Source organism: Homo sapiens, chromosome 3 (genome assembly GCF_000001405.40).
Source record: "Homo sapiens chromosome 3, GRCh38.p14 Primary Assembly".
Taxonomy (NCBI): Eukaryota; Metazoa; Chordata; class Mammalia; order Primates; family Hominidae; genus Homo; species Homo sapiens.
This window is the reverse complement of record NC_000003.12, coordinates 182,713,818-182,727,641: the sequence shown is the minus strand read 5'-3', so window position 1 is coordinate 182,727,641 and position 13,824 is coordinate 182,713,818. Positions and strand designations below refer to the sequence as shown.

Here is a 13,824-nt window from a genome sequence, read left to right as displayed (position 1 = left end):
TCTATTCCGCAGCTGCAGATTTGATTGGATTATCTGTATGCCCTTCATGAAATTTCAACCTCCCAAATTCCCTATTTTGTTAGAAAATTGTGCCAATATTTTCCACTTGACTAATTTCACCTATGAGACATTTTATAAACAATACAAATAAAAATATTATAATATGTATCTAGATTATATTATTAATCTAGATTGTATCTAGATTATATTATTAATCTAGATTGTATCTAGATTATATTATTAATCTAGATTGTATCTAGATTATATTATTAATCTAGATTGTATCTAGATTGTAATATTATAATATGCATCGTTATTGCTTTACAGGTGTTTTAATGCATACCATTTCATTTTCTTGTGCCAACAACCTGTGAAGGAGGCAGTGAAGATATTCTCCAAACTGACAGAGGAATAGAGGAGGCTGGGAGGGGTTTCATGACTCCCCTAAAACCCATATCTCCAGGAGCCACAGCCAGGCCCAAGTTGTTATAGGAGGCAGAAAGAAATTATTTAGGTAGACAGGGTAAAGAGAGTCCCCAGCAGAAAACTTTCCTTTTAACAAAAAGCAGCTCAAAGATAGCTCCCTTTCTAACTTCATGCAGTTCAAGGAAGTCACTTCTCTTCTAAAAGCAGGCGGCCTGAAAGAGCAGACAGTAAAACTCAGGTAAGGCAGCTCGGACACAGAAGGGGCGGGGCGGTGGGGGCATGTCTCCTGGGTAATCACCAAGCTTCACACCTATACAGTGGGCCCCAGTGAAACAGTGGGCATTAATAAGCACATTCCTTTCCCTTTAAGTGTACTAAGATAGGGAAGCTAAAAGCAGACTTGAGGGGTATGCCTGCAGCTGCAAGAAGATGTATGGGAACAGACACAGAAACTCTCCCTTCCAGATAGATTAGGCAAGACAAAGAAACACAGACTAAAAGTCAGCCTATGTGGCCCAGAAATGGGATGAGAGCTGATAAAACCTCTGGTCGATACAGATAGCACATCTGGTCCCAACTGAACCGTCAGGCCCTGGGAGGATAAGACATCCCCTCCTCATGAGCCCCCTCCTCACTAGGGCATTTATAAAAACCCTGACATTTTTGCTATACCTTGGCAACCCGCTCAGGACCCCTCTCTGTAACAGAGAGCTGTTCTTTCCTTTTATCTATGAAACTCCTGCTCCAAACTCTGTCTGTGTGTGTGTCTGTGACCTCAATCTCCTTGGCTGTAAGACCAAGAGCCTTGGTATTTACCCCCCAGACAATGAGGGTGCTTCATTTTGGGGGCCCATCTGGGATTTGAAGGTGAATTCATCGGAAGGGTGAGTAGGGGAGCGGACTCTGTCCTTTCACTTCCGAGGCTTCTCAGCCTCAGTTTTTTATTCTCTCAAAGAACTATCGAAAACACTGGGCATCTGATGGCCGATTAAGGAACCACGAGAGCCTGCCGCCGGTCTTAAAGACTCATGTGAGGCTTGCTGGGGAGGACCTAGTCAATCCCCCGGTGCCCTCAGAGTGCTGGGAATGTTGGCTGTGTCCAAACTTTTGTTTGTTTGTTTGTTTTGTTTTGTTTTCACGGACAGCCTGGCTGTGGTGCTGGAATAGGTCTTGGAGCAACTGAGAATTTCTGGCCAGGGCCACACCCTGGTGTTATTCAAAAGGTTCCTGGACTGATCCCAGGCTCCGTCCGCCCGACTGGGTGTCAGCCACAGGATCTCCAGGCTTTCCTATCGCAAATTTTATTTTTCTCCTTTCCTTTCCGGCAGTCACCATACCTCCCATCCTCTCTCTCTATGCAATGCTGCGGGAGTTTTTACAGCCCAGGGAAATAATTCAATTAGGCAGGCTTAGCAACCACCTTAGCAACCAGGAATGCAGGTCAAAGGATTGATGTTTTTGTGACTCTTTACAGACAGGAGGATTTCATGATCCAGATCTCAGACTCTAACTCCTAACCATAGCACTTCCTGGGGTTGGGTGGGAGGTTACTTTCCCCCCAGTAAAAGCCCCTCTGTCCACCTAGGCTATTTCTTTTCCCATATGAGGAGCCAGCACTGCCCAGTCGGACTGGATAGTCCCTCTAGGACGCGAATTAACTTTCTCCTGCTAGGAGGTATGCTGTGGGGACAGCTTGCCACAGGTCAAACTTCTCTCTCTGTCCTTTGTTTAAAGAGCATACAGAGGCAAAGTTACTGCCTGGTGTTCCACTAGCATCACCTAGTAGAATGGGAATCCTCTCCAGGGGGAAACTTGCCTGCCGTTTGCCAAAAGCCTCTAGCTTTCCAGTTCTTCTCCCTTTTATGCCCCTCTAATAGAGACCAAACCTTATGCCCCCTCTGCGAGTGGTAGAGACCAAACCTTATGCCCCCTCTAATAGAGACCAAACCTTATGCCCCCTCTGCGAGCGGGAGAGACCAAACCTTATGCCCCCTCTGCGAGCGGGAGAGACCAAACCTTATGCCCCCTCTGTGAGCGGGAGAGACCAAACCTTATGCCCCCTCTAATAGAGACCAAAACTTATGCCCCCTCTGCGAGCGGAAGAGACCAAACCTTATGCCCCCTCTGCGAGCGGGAGAACTCTGCTTTCAGCAGTGAGGAGGAACATATCCTCCAAATCCGAATTTTAGTCTCAATACTCTATTAGCAGGAAGGCCACCATATGACCCTTATGTTCTCTTAAGACACCTATTTTACCTAAAACTATAATGGCATCTAAGTAGAAAGGGGGTTTATTTTTATTTTATTTCATTTTTTTGAGACGAAGTCTCTCTCTTTTCCCCCATTCTGGAGTGCAATGGCGCAATCTCAGCTCACTGCAACCTCCGCCTCCCGGGTTCAAGCAATTCTCCTGCCTCAGCCTCCCGAGTACCTGGGATTACAGGTGCATACCACCACACCCAGCTAATTTTTTTGTATTTTAAGTAGAGACGGGGTTTCACCATGTTGGCCAGGCTGGTCTTGAACTCCTGACCTCAGGTGATCCGCCCGCCTCGGCCTCCCAAAGTGCTGGGATTATAGGCATGAGCCACTGCGCCCGGCCAGAAAGGGGATTTTATGTCGGGAAGTTGACTGGAACCACCACCTAAGAATAATTTCTCTAGTCCGGGCAGTAGTAGCAGAGTACAAAGCTCAGTCCCAGTGCACTGAGTACAAAGCACAGGGAGTCCCAGTGCACTCCCTCCATTAAGGGGCCTTGCTCAAAGCAACTGTTACATAATCTCTCCCGAGACCCATCCATCAAGGAGCCACACAGGTCACACAGGTCTAGAAGGTCAGAGGGTAGTTACCCAATTATTAGGCAGAGGACTGAGCTCACTTGGGGTAAACATGACTAGCCCCATTGATTAGGTCCTCTGGTACCACATTTGGGGGTCACGCCTGCAACCATGGGGTACCAATTATGGTGCCAGGACCCAGGGAGTAGGGAGGGAGAACAGTCAGGAGGATGCTCACACTGTGTCCCCTCCACCCTGGGTCACATCGAAAAGAACCAGGAGACTGAGGAACACCTTGATTCTTGTCTCTTTTTTAAGATGGGTAACAAGCCATCTTTGGCCTGCACTCCTCTGGCATGCATTCTGAAATACTGGGACTCCTTTGACCCTGAAACTTTGAAGAAAAAGTCAGGAAAGGCCTAGAAGAAGCCAGGAAAGTGCTAGAAGCTATTATTAAGAATAGCTTTTTTTTTTTTTTTCCACAATGGTGTGGCCTTCTTACCATCTCAGGAATGAACAGACCTGGCCAGCTGAAGGGAGCCTTGATTTTAATCTTATCCAACAATTAGATCTTTTCTGTAGATGGGAGAGCAAATGGCCCAAGGTCCCCTATGTACAGGCTTTCTTTGCCCTGCGGGACAATCCAGACCTTTGCGAGTATTGCACAATTGACTCAGCCCTCTTGGCAATCATATCAGGCAGGTGTCTGTGGAGAGTAGTTCCGCTAAGTTAGAAAAGCAAGTTTTGGAGGAGCCATTGGAGGCGGCTTCTAAGTGTCCCAGTCCTTCTAGTTTTCCTTATCTGGGCCCCCTCCAACTGTGCCATCAGCTCCTCCAGCTCCACCATCTGCAAAGCTCCCCACTGCCCCAGCTTCACTCCTACCCCTACAAAAAAATGCCAGATGGAAGGGGCATCACTAGGGTACCTGTTCCCTCCTCATTACAGAACCCTAGGCAAATAAAGGGAGACTTGGGCTGGTTTTCTGATGACCCTGATAGGTATATTGAGGCCTTCCAAAATGTAACTCAAGTGCTTTACCTCACATGCAGGGACGTTATGCTGCTTCTAAGCCAAACCCACACTGCAGCTGAAAAGCAGGCAGCTCCAGATATTAGAAGGAAGCTACAGAAACAGGCCATAGGACCGGGTAGTACCTTGGAAGACCTCCTGAAGTTGGACACTTCGGTCTTTTACAATAGGGACCGGGAGGAGGCCCAGGAGAAAAAGAGAAGCACAAGAGAAAGACTAAGGCTCTAGTGGCCGCTTTGCAGCCTTGCAGAATTCAGCATCCCCAGGGAGCATCCACTCATCACTATCAGTGTGGCAAGCTAGTGCACTTTAAGAATTGCCTAGGCAACAAGAAAAAGCCACCTCAATGCTGTCCAGCATGTGGTGGAGATCACTGGAGATCAGACTGCCCCTGGGGACAGAAGTCACCTGGTCCAGAACCAGTCTCACAGAGGATCCAGCAGGACTGATGGATTCTGGGGCCCAAACCCCCGGCTCCAGCGGCTCAGGCTGCCATCATGCTCAGCAGCCCTGGGTGATTCTGGAAATTGAAGGGAGGAGGGTGGGCCTCCTCCTGGATACTGAAGCTAGTCTCTCTGTCCTCTCCAATCCAGGCCTCCCCTCTTCCCATAGCACAACCGTGGTGGGTATCTCAGCAAAGACTCTAATCCGACATTTCTCTCAACCCCTTAGCTGTAGTTGTGGGTACTTATTATCTACACATACCTTCTTGATTATGCCTGACCTTCCCACTCGTTCATTAGATAGAGACATTTCAGCCCACATGGGGGTCTACATCCTCATGGCCCCAGGATAAACTCTTTGTCTTCTCTTAGTGGAAGCCAATATTAATCTAAAAGTGTGGGCAACTCAAGAAAGAGTGGGTTGAGCTAAAACTGCTAGGCCAGTTCAAATGCACCTTCTTTTCCTAACCTGAGACAATATCCCCTAAGGCCAGAAGCCAGGAAAGGGCTAGAAGCTATTATTAATAACCTGAAAATGCAGGGCCTCCTCAGACCCTGCAGCAGTCCTTGCAACACTCCGATACTAGGAGTGCAAAAGCCCAATGGGGAATGGAGCCTAGTTCAGGACCTTCGTCTCATGAATGAGGCCATAGTCCCAATTCATCCAGTGGTCCCTAATCCCTGCACCTTGCTGACACAGATACCGCAGGAAACTAAATGGTTTATAGTCCTAAATTTAAAGGATGCCTTTTTCTGCATACTGTTACATCCTGACTCTCAATACCTGTTTGCCTTTGAGGATTCCCCCCAGTCAGACCGCCCAGTTAACATGGATGGTGCTGCCTGAGGGATTTCAAAACAGCCCTCACTTGTTTGGACAAGCACTGTCAAAGGACCTTTCTAAGTTCTCCCATCCTCAGGTCAGGGTCTTGCAGTGTGTAAATGACACTTTCCTCTGTGCCCCAATCAAGAAAGTCTCAGGAAGGCACTTAGACTCTCCTCAATTTCTTAGCTAAAAGAAGTATAGGGTTGGCCGGGCGCGGTGGCTCACGCTTGTAATCCCAGAACTTTGGGAGGCCTAGGTGGGTGGATCACTTGAGGACAGGAGTTCGAGACCAGCCTGGCCAACATGGTGAAACCTGTCTCTACTAAAAATACAAAAAAAAAAAATTAGCTGGGCATGGTGATGGGCACCTGTAATCCCAGCTACTCAGGAGGCTGAGGCAGGAGAATCTCTTGAACCCAAAAGGAGGAGGTTGCAGTGAGCCGAGATCACACCATTGCAGTCCAGCCTGGACAACAATAGTGAAACTCTGTCTCAAAAAAAAAAAAAAAAAAAAAAGAAGAATAGGGTCTCAAAATCTAAAGCTCAGCTCTCTCAGAATTCAGCAAAGTACCTAGTTCTGGTCTTATCAAAAGGGAGCAGAGCACCTGGTGAGGAAAGGATTAAGCCCATTTCCTTTAACAGTTAAGAAAATTCTTAGGCATTATTGGATTTTGTAGACTGTAAGTACCTGGGCACAGGAAAGTAGCTCATCCTTTATACCACCTCATAAAAGAAACTCAGACAGTTAAAACTCAACCCCCTTTAGGAACCTAAAAACACAAAAGCCTTAAACTAGCTAAAGCAAGCCTTACTTAAAGCAACAGTTCTGGCCAGGTGAGGTGGCTCACGCCTGTAATGCCAGCAATTTGGGAGGCTGAGGAGGGTGGATCACAAAGTCAAGAGATCAAGACCATACTGGCCAACATGGTGAAACCCCGTCTCTACTAAAAATACAAAAATTAGCTGAGCGTGGTGGCACGTGTCTGTAGTCCCAGCTACTAGGGAGGCTGAGGCAGGAGAATCGCTTGAACCCAGGAGGCAGAGGTTGCAGTGAGCCGAGATAGCGCCACTGCACTCCAGCCTGGCGACAGAGCGAGACTCGGTCTCCCCCCCAAAAAAAGGACCAGTTCTTAGTCTTCCCATAGGGAAGGTATTTAATCTTTATGTATTGAAAAGGAAGAAAATAGCCCTGAAAGTTTTAACTAGGGCTTGAGGTCCAGCTCAACAGCCAGTGGGTTACTTAAGCAAGGATCTTAACTTGGTGGCTTAAGAATAGTCAGCCTGCCTCCAAGCAGTTACAGTGGTGGCTTTGCTGGTGCCAGAAACCTCTGGGTTAACCATGGGAAATAACTTAGCTGTGCCAGGCGCGGTGGCTCACGCCTGTAATCCCAGCACTTTGGGAGGCCGAGGCGGGCGGATCACGAGGTCAGGAGATCGAGACCATCCTGGTTAACACGATGAAACCCCGTCTCTACTAAAAATACAAAAAAATTAGCCGGGCGTGATGGCGGGCGCCTGTAGTCCCAGCTACTCGGGAGGCTGAGGCAGGAGAATGGCGTGAACCCGGGAGGTGGAGCTTGCAGTGAGCCGAGATCGCGCCAAGGCACTCCAGCCTGGGTGACAGAACGAGACTCCGTCTCAAAAAAAAAAAAAAAAAAAAAAAAAAAGAAATAACTTCGCTGTTTAACCCCACACAATATAACAGGAATGTTGTCCACTAAGGAAAGTCTCTGGCTAACAGACAATTGCCTCCTCAAATATCAAGCTTTGCTGCTAAAGGGATCTGCAGGCCAGTTAAAAACCCACCCTTGCCTGAGCCCAGTCACTTTCTCCCAGAGAAAACTGGAGAACCTGAACATAATTGTGAACAGGTAGTGGTGCAAACTGGAAAAACAAATGGTAAGAATTACTGCTTATCTTATCTGCAAAGTGTTAATTCGTGAAAAAGGATTTTCTTAAAGAGCACTCAGCTTAATTAAAAATGGATATCCAAGCTATAAGTACATCCAAAAGGCCTTCATGTTTTTCTCTTCATAAATCTAGTTTTCCTGGAAAAGGTTTTTTTTCTCACTCGACTGAATTACTTTTCTCCACTCTGTCTTGCCACTCTTGTTGCATGCATGAAAGCCCCTAGAATGACTTCTGGTGGCCTGGGCTGCCTTGGGACATCAGAAAAGGTGCCACAAATTCCATTCTGGGAAAAATCTCTGTTTTCCTTATGGAACCCCTGGAATTAGAGGTGAGTAAGTACCTCTCCAAATCTGTCCTTGTCTTCTGGCTATGCTTGTTTATTAGGCCCTGGAAATTGTACTCCTAGCCCTGTTCTTATAGGGCCTCACCCAGAGGCCAATAATCTAATTGGGAAATTGGCAAATGTAAGTTTTATAACTACTGGATCTTATTCTGTTTGTCTGTGTGGTTATATATGTGTTATGTGTGCAATGTCTATTAAAAAGAGCTCTAATTAATTGGCCTAAGAAAAATAAGCACTTAAATCAAATATTTTTAAAGGAAAAGTAAAAGCTGTGGTACCTTTCAGATCACATGACTTTAATCTTTAAAAATAAAAGCGGTCTTAGGAATTATTGGTAAAATACAAATGTCTTCAAGGTGTAAAAATGTGGTCTAAATTATGCAGGTCAGATACTAGGTTTGCTAAATGTTTTAAGGTTGTAAAGTGCTTCTTTTTTTTTTTGTTTTTTGTTTTTTTGAGAGAGTCTTGCTCTGTCACCCAGGCTGGGGTGCAGTGGCCTGATCTCGGCTCACTGCAAGCTCCGCCTCCCGGATTCACGCCAGTCTCCTGCCTCAGCCTCCCGAAAAGCTGGGACTACAGGCGCCCGCCACCACGCCCAGCTAATTTTTTTTGTGTTTTTAGTAGAGACAGGGTTTCACCGTGTTAGCCAGGATGGTCTCAATCTCCTGACCTTGTGATCTGCCCGCCTCAGCCTCCCAAAGTGCTGGGATTACAGGCGTGAGCCACCGCGCCTGGCCGTAAACTGCTTCCTTAGCCTTTAAGAACTTTCAACTTGCCTGCTTCACAACTGGTAAGGCCAAGAACATGTTGAAGTAGCCATGTCCCTAACTATGCTAGAAGGAGTCAAACTTCATCTGCATCCAGCGCATGATTTAAAAAACGTAGCAGGTTTTACATTAAAGTTAAAAATTGCTAAGCATTACCATTATGACTTGTAATTAAAACCACTGAACATGGATTTGCATGCAAGACATATAAAAACAGTAAAATATGTTTTTAGTTAAAAATTATACGATAGCATGAAAATATACATTTTGCTTAGGAATAAAGAATTGTCTTACAATTAAATAAAATAAAGTGGATGGTTTAAGCAAGTTGTGAGGAGATTGTAAAAATTAGTCCTGCAAAGGAAACTCTGTGTGTGACCATATTAACTAAATTCAAAAGGGTATTATATGTTTTTTTTTCTGTAAATTAAACACAAAACAAAAGCACGACAAGATTTTCTTACAATGCTAATCTACTCTTTACCAAAACTTGTCAAGGGTTGTGAAAACTTGTCAACAGGTCTGTGAAAATCTCACTTCATGGTCAAACTGGTTAAAATTAAATAGGATTGTCTATAAGGATTCATTAAAAATTAGTGTTAACATTAATAGCATACTAATGCAAGGGTAAAATTTAACCTCTCTTGAACAGGATTTTCATGTAATAGAAAAGGCTGATGAATGGTTTTTGCTTTTTCAAATTTTTGACTTATTTTGGCAAAACAAAACAAATAAAAAAAACTTATGGTAATCTAAAATTCTATTTCATAATATCGAGTGTTTTGAATTTTGAACATATTTAACAGGCTTCCCAAAATCAAACTTTAGTCTGAAGTTTGTCTTTCCTAAACTTTGGCTTTGGGGTGTTGCAGAGGGCCCCTGGAGCATCCAGAAGAGAGGTAAACAGGATTATTTAACATGTTTAGGTACATGGAATTGACAAAATGATGTCTAATAGGTTATATTTTAGGGAATAATATTAACATGTTTTCCACAACTGTATGGGATGTCTAGGGTTCTAGTGTCTGAATATGTGCAATCAATCACAATTAAGGTTGTTATGCTGGGTTATTGTAAATCATAAAAATAACCAAGTTTCTTTGTCAATTGTGTTTCTGACAGTATCCAAACTGGACATTTTGTCATTTACAGATAATTGTTGTTTTGTTTTAATTCTCTTCAAAAGATGTTTTATAATCAAGCTGTGGGACTTGAACAAGTGCTCTCAAATGTGGGTTTCTCATAACAACAACAACAAAAATACAGAACTCATGAAAAGCTGAAATGTTTATAAATATCAAGCAAAACAAAAGTTAATAGAATGGACTGAACTAATGGAAAACAGAAGCAAGTTTTTGGCTTTTGCTTGGAACACCGCTAATCCTTATTTTATTTTTCAGAGTCAAGGAAACTTGTCTTGAGCTAGCTACAGCCTTTAACAACTAAGTAAAGTATACTCCTGTAAATAGGATTTGAAGCGTGTTTGTTTCTCTCTGCCTAGTTCCTCTAGAATTTGAAAACTAGTTATAAGTATTCTTAAATTACAACAATATAGTTTGCATCAATGCAACAAGAATCCATTTTCTTTTGCAACAGGACACAATTGGAAAAACTGGTTGTTTTACCAAGGCTTTGACTGGAAGGGTGTGTTCCCCTTTAAGGAGTCAGGCTTGACTTGTAAAGCCAATAAAAAGCACCTTAGGAAACTGGCCTCATACCTAGACTACAGCTTCTCAGTACAGGGCTCCTAGCCTGCGGTGAGTAAAGAATGTCACTTTCTAACAGGCCTAGAAACCCCATGCACCTGGAACCTCAAGAAGAAAGAAGTTTACCCAATTCGCATGTATTTAAAGGTTTCAACCCATTCCTGGGCTTGGCTTTAAAAGGTCCTATCTGAGATTCCTTATGGAAAAAGTTTCCATCAAAGCTGATCTAAAAGATGGTTATTCTTGCTGGACTTTATGCAAATAATCAGACCAAGTTTAAAACTAAAGTCTGTTTTGCAAACAGCTCAGTCCTACCATAAGTTGTTTTTAACAAAAATGAGGACTAAAGAGAGAAAAATTATGTTTTAAAACTTATACATCTGTCATTGGCTTGTAGTCTCATTAATTGTTTTTAAGTTCTTGCCTACATTTTAAACTAACCCTGTTTATTTCTGTCAATCTCTGGCTGCAGCTCAAAGGAAACAAAAAAGCATGGGTAATGTAAAAATCTGGAAACATGTTCTAGTTCTGGGCAATTATCCTACAAATACTGACAGGTAACCTATAACCCCAAGGTTTCCTTTTTTTCAGGGAAGGTGAGACCAAGGAAGCTAAACAAAGCCAAGCCCCATACACCCACTTACAATAGCACAATCCATTTAAATGGCTTGCAGGTATCAAACAAACTCAGTAGTCATGGTTATGGCCTATTGTGCCCCCATTAATAATGGCAGTCTTAATACTCACAGTTGAACCCTATATTCTAAGCCCCCTTGTAAACTTTATCTCTTCTCACCTAGAAACCACCAAGCTTCAAATGGTGCTTTAAATAAAGCTGAAAATGAAACCTCCCTTCTACCAGGAACCCTTAAATCAACCCCAGGAGGAGCCCTAGCTGCTGTTCCCCACACAATGCCCCTCTCCAGCAGGAAGTAGCCAGAAGAAGTCATCACCCAATTCCCCCTAACGGCAGTTAGGGATTCCATTTCAGAGGGGGGAAATATGTTATAGGAGGCAGAGAGAAATTATTTAGGTGAGTCCCTGGCAGAAAACTTTCCTTTTAACAAAAAGCAGCTCAGACATAGCTCCCTTTCTAATCTCATGCAGTTCAAAAAGTCACTTCTCTTCTAACAACAAGCAGCCTGAAAGAGCAAACAGTAAAACACAGATAAGACAGCTCCCACACAGAAGGAGCTGGGGAAAATCTCCTGGGTAATCACCAAACTTCACACCTATACAGTGGGTCTCAGTGAAACAGTGGGCCTTAATAAGCACATTCCTTTCCCTTTTAGGTGTACTAAGATAGGGAAGCTAAAAGCAGACTTGAGCCTGTAATCCCAGCACTTTGGGAGGCCGAGGTGGGCGGATCACTAGGTCAGGAGATCGAGACCATCCTGGCTAACACGGGTGCTTTCTGTATGTCAAGTGCCACACTATTAATTCTTTTTTTTTTTTTTTGAGACAGAGTTTTGCTCTTGTTGCCCAGGCTGGAGTGCAATGGCACGATCTCGGCTCACCACAATCTCCGCCTCCCAGGTTCAAGCGATTCTCCTGCCTCAGCCTCCTGAGTAGCTGGGATTACAGTCATGCACCACCATGCCTGGCTAATTTTGTATTTTTATTAGAGATGGGGTTTCTCCATGTTGGTCAGGCTGGTCTTGAACTCCCCACCTCAGGTGATCCGCCCACATCAGCCTCTCAAAGTGCTGGGATTACAGGTGTGAGCCACTGTGCCTGGCCTCACACTATTAATTCTTTTAATTTACTTACCCATCTTGTGAGATAGGTACTACTTTATTACCATTGTAGTTCCTGTTTTACAGAGGAGGATAGTAGACACACTAAGATAAAGTTATTTGTGAAGCTAACCACACACCTAGTAAGTGGCAGAGCTAGGGTTTGAACCCATGCCATCTGCCTTTGGAGATTCTAAGATGATAGACCCTCACTTTGGTATGACTTCCATCTGTGAAAGCCCCTCCTACAAAACCCCTCACTGCCACTCCATCCTAAAATCTAGATGGAGTCTCGGACTGACCACAAACTAGTTCACTTTTTCTCTTATTCCTTCCTCACAACTTAGACACTCAATGATCTTGTAGTTGCCAAAGACTAGGACTTTTTCAGTCTTTTTCTCACCACCTAATCTAAAGAGACACCTGTGGTCAGTTGGACCTTGTGGCTAACTCGCTGGAGAAATTGCAGTTGAAGTTGAAGGGCTACTCTTAACCTTCACATTTATCTTGCCCTGTTGATATCCACAGCACTAGGCATGGTATGTTCTTTGGAACACATGCCCAGTGAGTCCCAAAGTCACAAGGTTATTTGATTTATTTTATTAGCATGAGCTTGCTTATTGGCCCATTTTTAAATGCAATGTATTATGTACAGTTCAATGTACTATGGACAGGACTGCTTAAGTTAATTTGAACTAAATGTATAAAAATGTTAATGGTTAAACACTTTTTCCTTTTGAAAACAATTTTTAAAAATTTTAATTGTGGTAAAAACATACAATTTAGCATTGAAACCATTTTAAAATGTGTAGTTCAGTAGCATTAAGTATATTCACATGGCTGTGCCACAGATCTCCAACGATTAAGCACTTTTAAAACAATACAGTTCTAGGGGAGATATTACTATTTTTGTTAGGAAAGAATAAAATGTCTCAAATATTGTGAATTTAGACAACTGGAAAATATTGGTAGAGAACTTGGGAGGCTGAAATTGGGAAAGAGAAAATGTGGGAAGCTAGAAATAGGCAATTTGGGAGGTGGAAATTTTGGGGAGAGGCTATGGTTATCTCCGAGTTGTAGTATTGATGATTTTTTGTTAGTATTTTAAATTTGATGGCTTTCCTATACTGTACATGGGTTACTTTTTGTTTACCAGGAAGCACAGCTTCCTGGCAGGTGTCAAACAATCTACCCCAGCAATAGTTCAACAGTAGGATATTTTTAGGCATATTTTTGTAAGAGAACTTTTCTGTTCTTACCCAAGATGAAACAGTTTCAGAAGTTTGGGCACAAAAGGTTCGAGGAAGCTGCTGACAACTGAGGCTTCTCAGGGTTATTCAGTTAGTTCAGAAGATCTTGCTTGTATTCCTAGGTTTTCTGACTAGCTGGAGCACTTTGTCCAAGGCATTGAGCAACAAATTAAAACATCCTTTGGTGCCACCTTATGCTAAGTGGGAGAAACTGCAGCTATTTAAACTGATTTCACAATTAGACTCAGTAGCTTTAATCTCCAGGAATTAGAGAGATAAGGAACCTATTTCCCTCCCTCCCTCCCTCCCTTCCTCCCTCCCTCTCTTCCTTCCTTCCTTCCTTGCTTCCATTTTTCTCTCTCTCTGTTAATAATTTCAACTTTTATTTTAGATTCAGGGGTACAAGTGTAGGTTTGTTACATGGGTATATTGTGTGATGATGCTGAGGTTTGGGGTATGGATGATTGCATCACCAGGTAGTGAGCACAGTACATAGAATGAGGTAGTTTTTCAGCCTACACTCCCCTCTCTCCCGCCTCCCTCTTGTAGTACCCAGTGTCTGTGGTTGCCGTCTTTATGTTCATGTGTACTCAATGTTTAGCTACCACTT

The 13,824-nt window shown here is 43.6% G+C and overlaps 2 annotated features.

The window, feature by feature from the left end:
* Positions 12,375 to 12,464: a transcriptional cis regulatory region, noted in NCBI's record as "candidate enhancer chr3.5108 targeted for multiplex CRISPR interference". NCBI's record gives its function as "positively regulates ATP11B gene expression with high confidence in K562 cells {active_cell/tissue: K562}" and the evidence as "EXISTENCE:mutant phenotype evidence [ECO:0000015][PMID:30612741]".
* Positions 13,242 to 13,507: a transcriptional cis regulatory region, noted in NCBI's record as "candidate enhancer chr3.5107 targeted for multiplex CRISPR interference". NCBI's record gives its function as "positively regulates ATP11B gene expression with high confidence in K562 cells {active_cell/tissue: K562}" and the evidence as "EXISTENCE:mutant phenotype evidence [ECO:0000015][PMID:30612741]".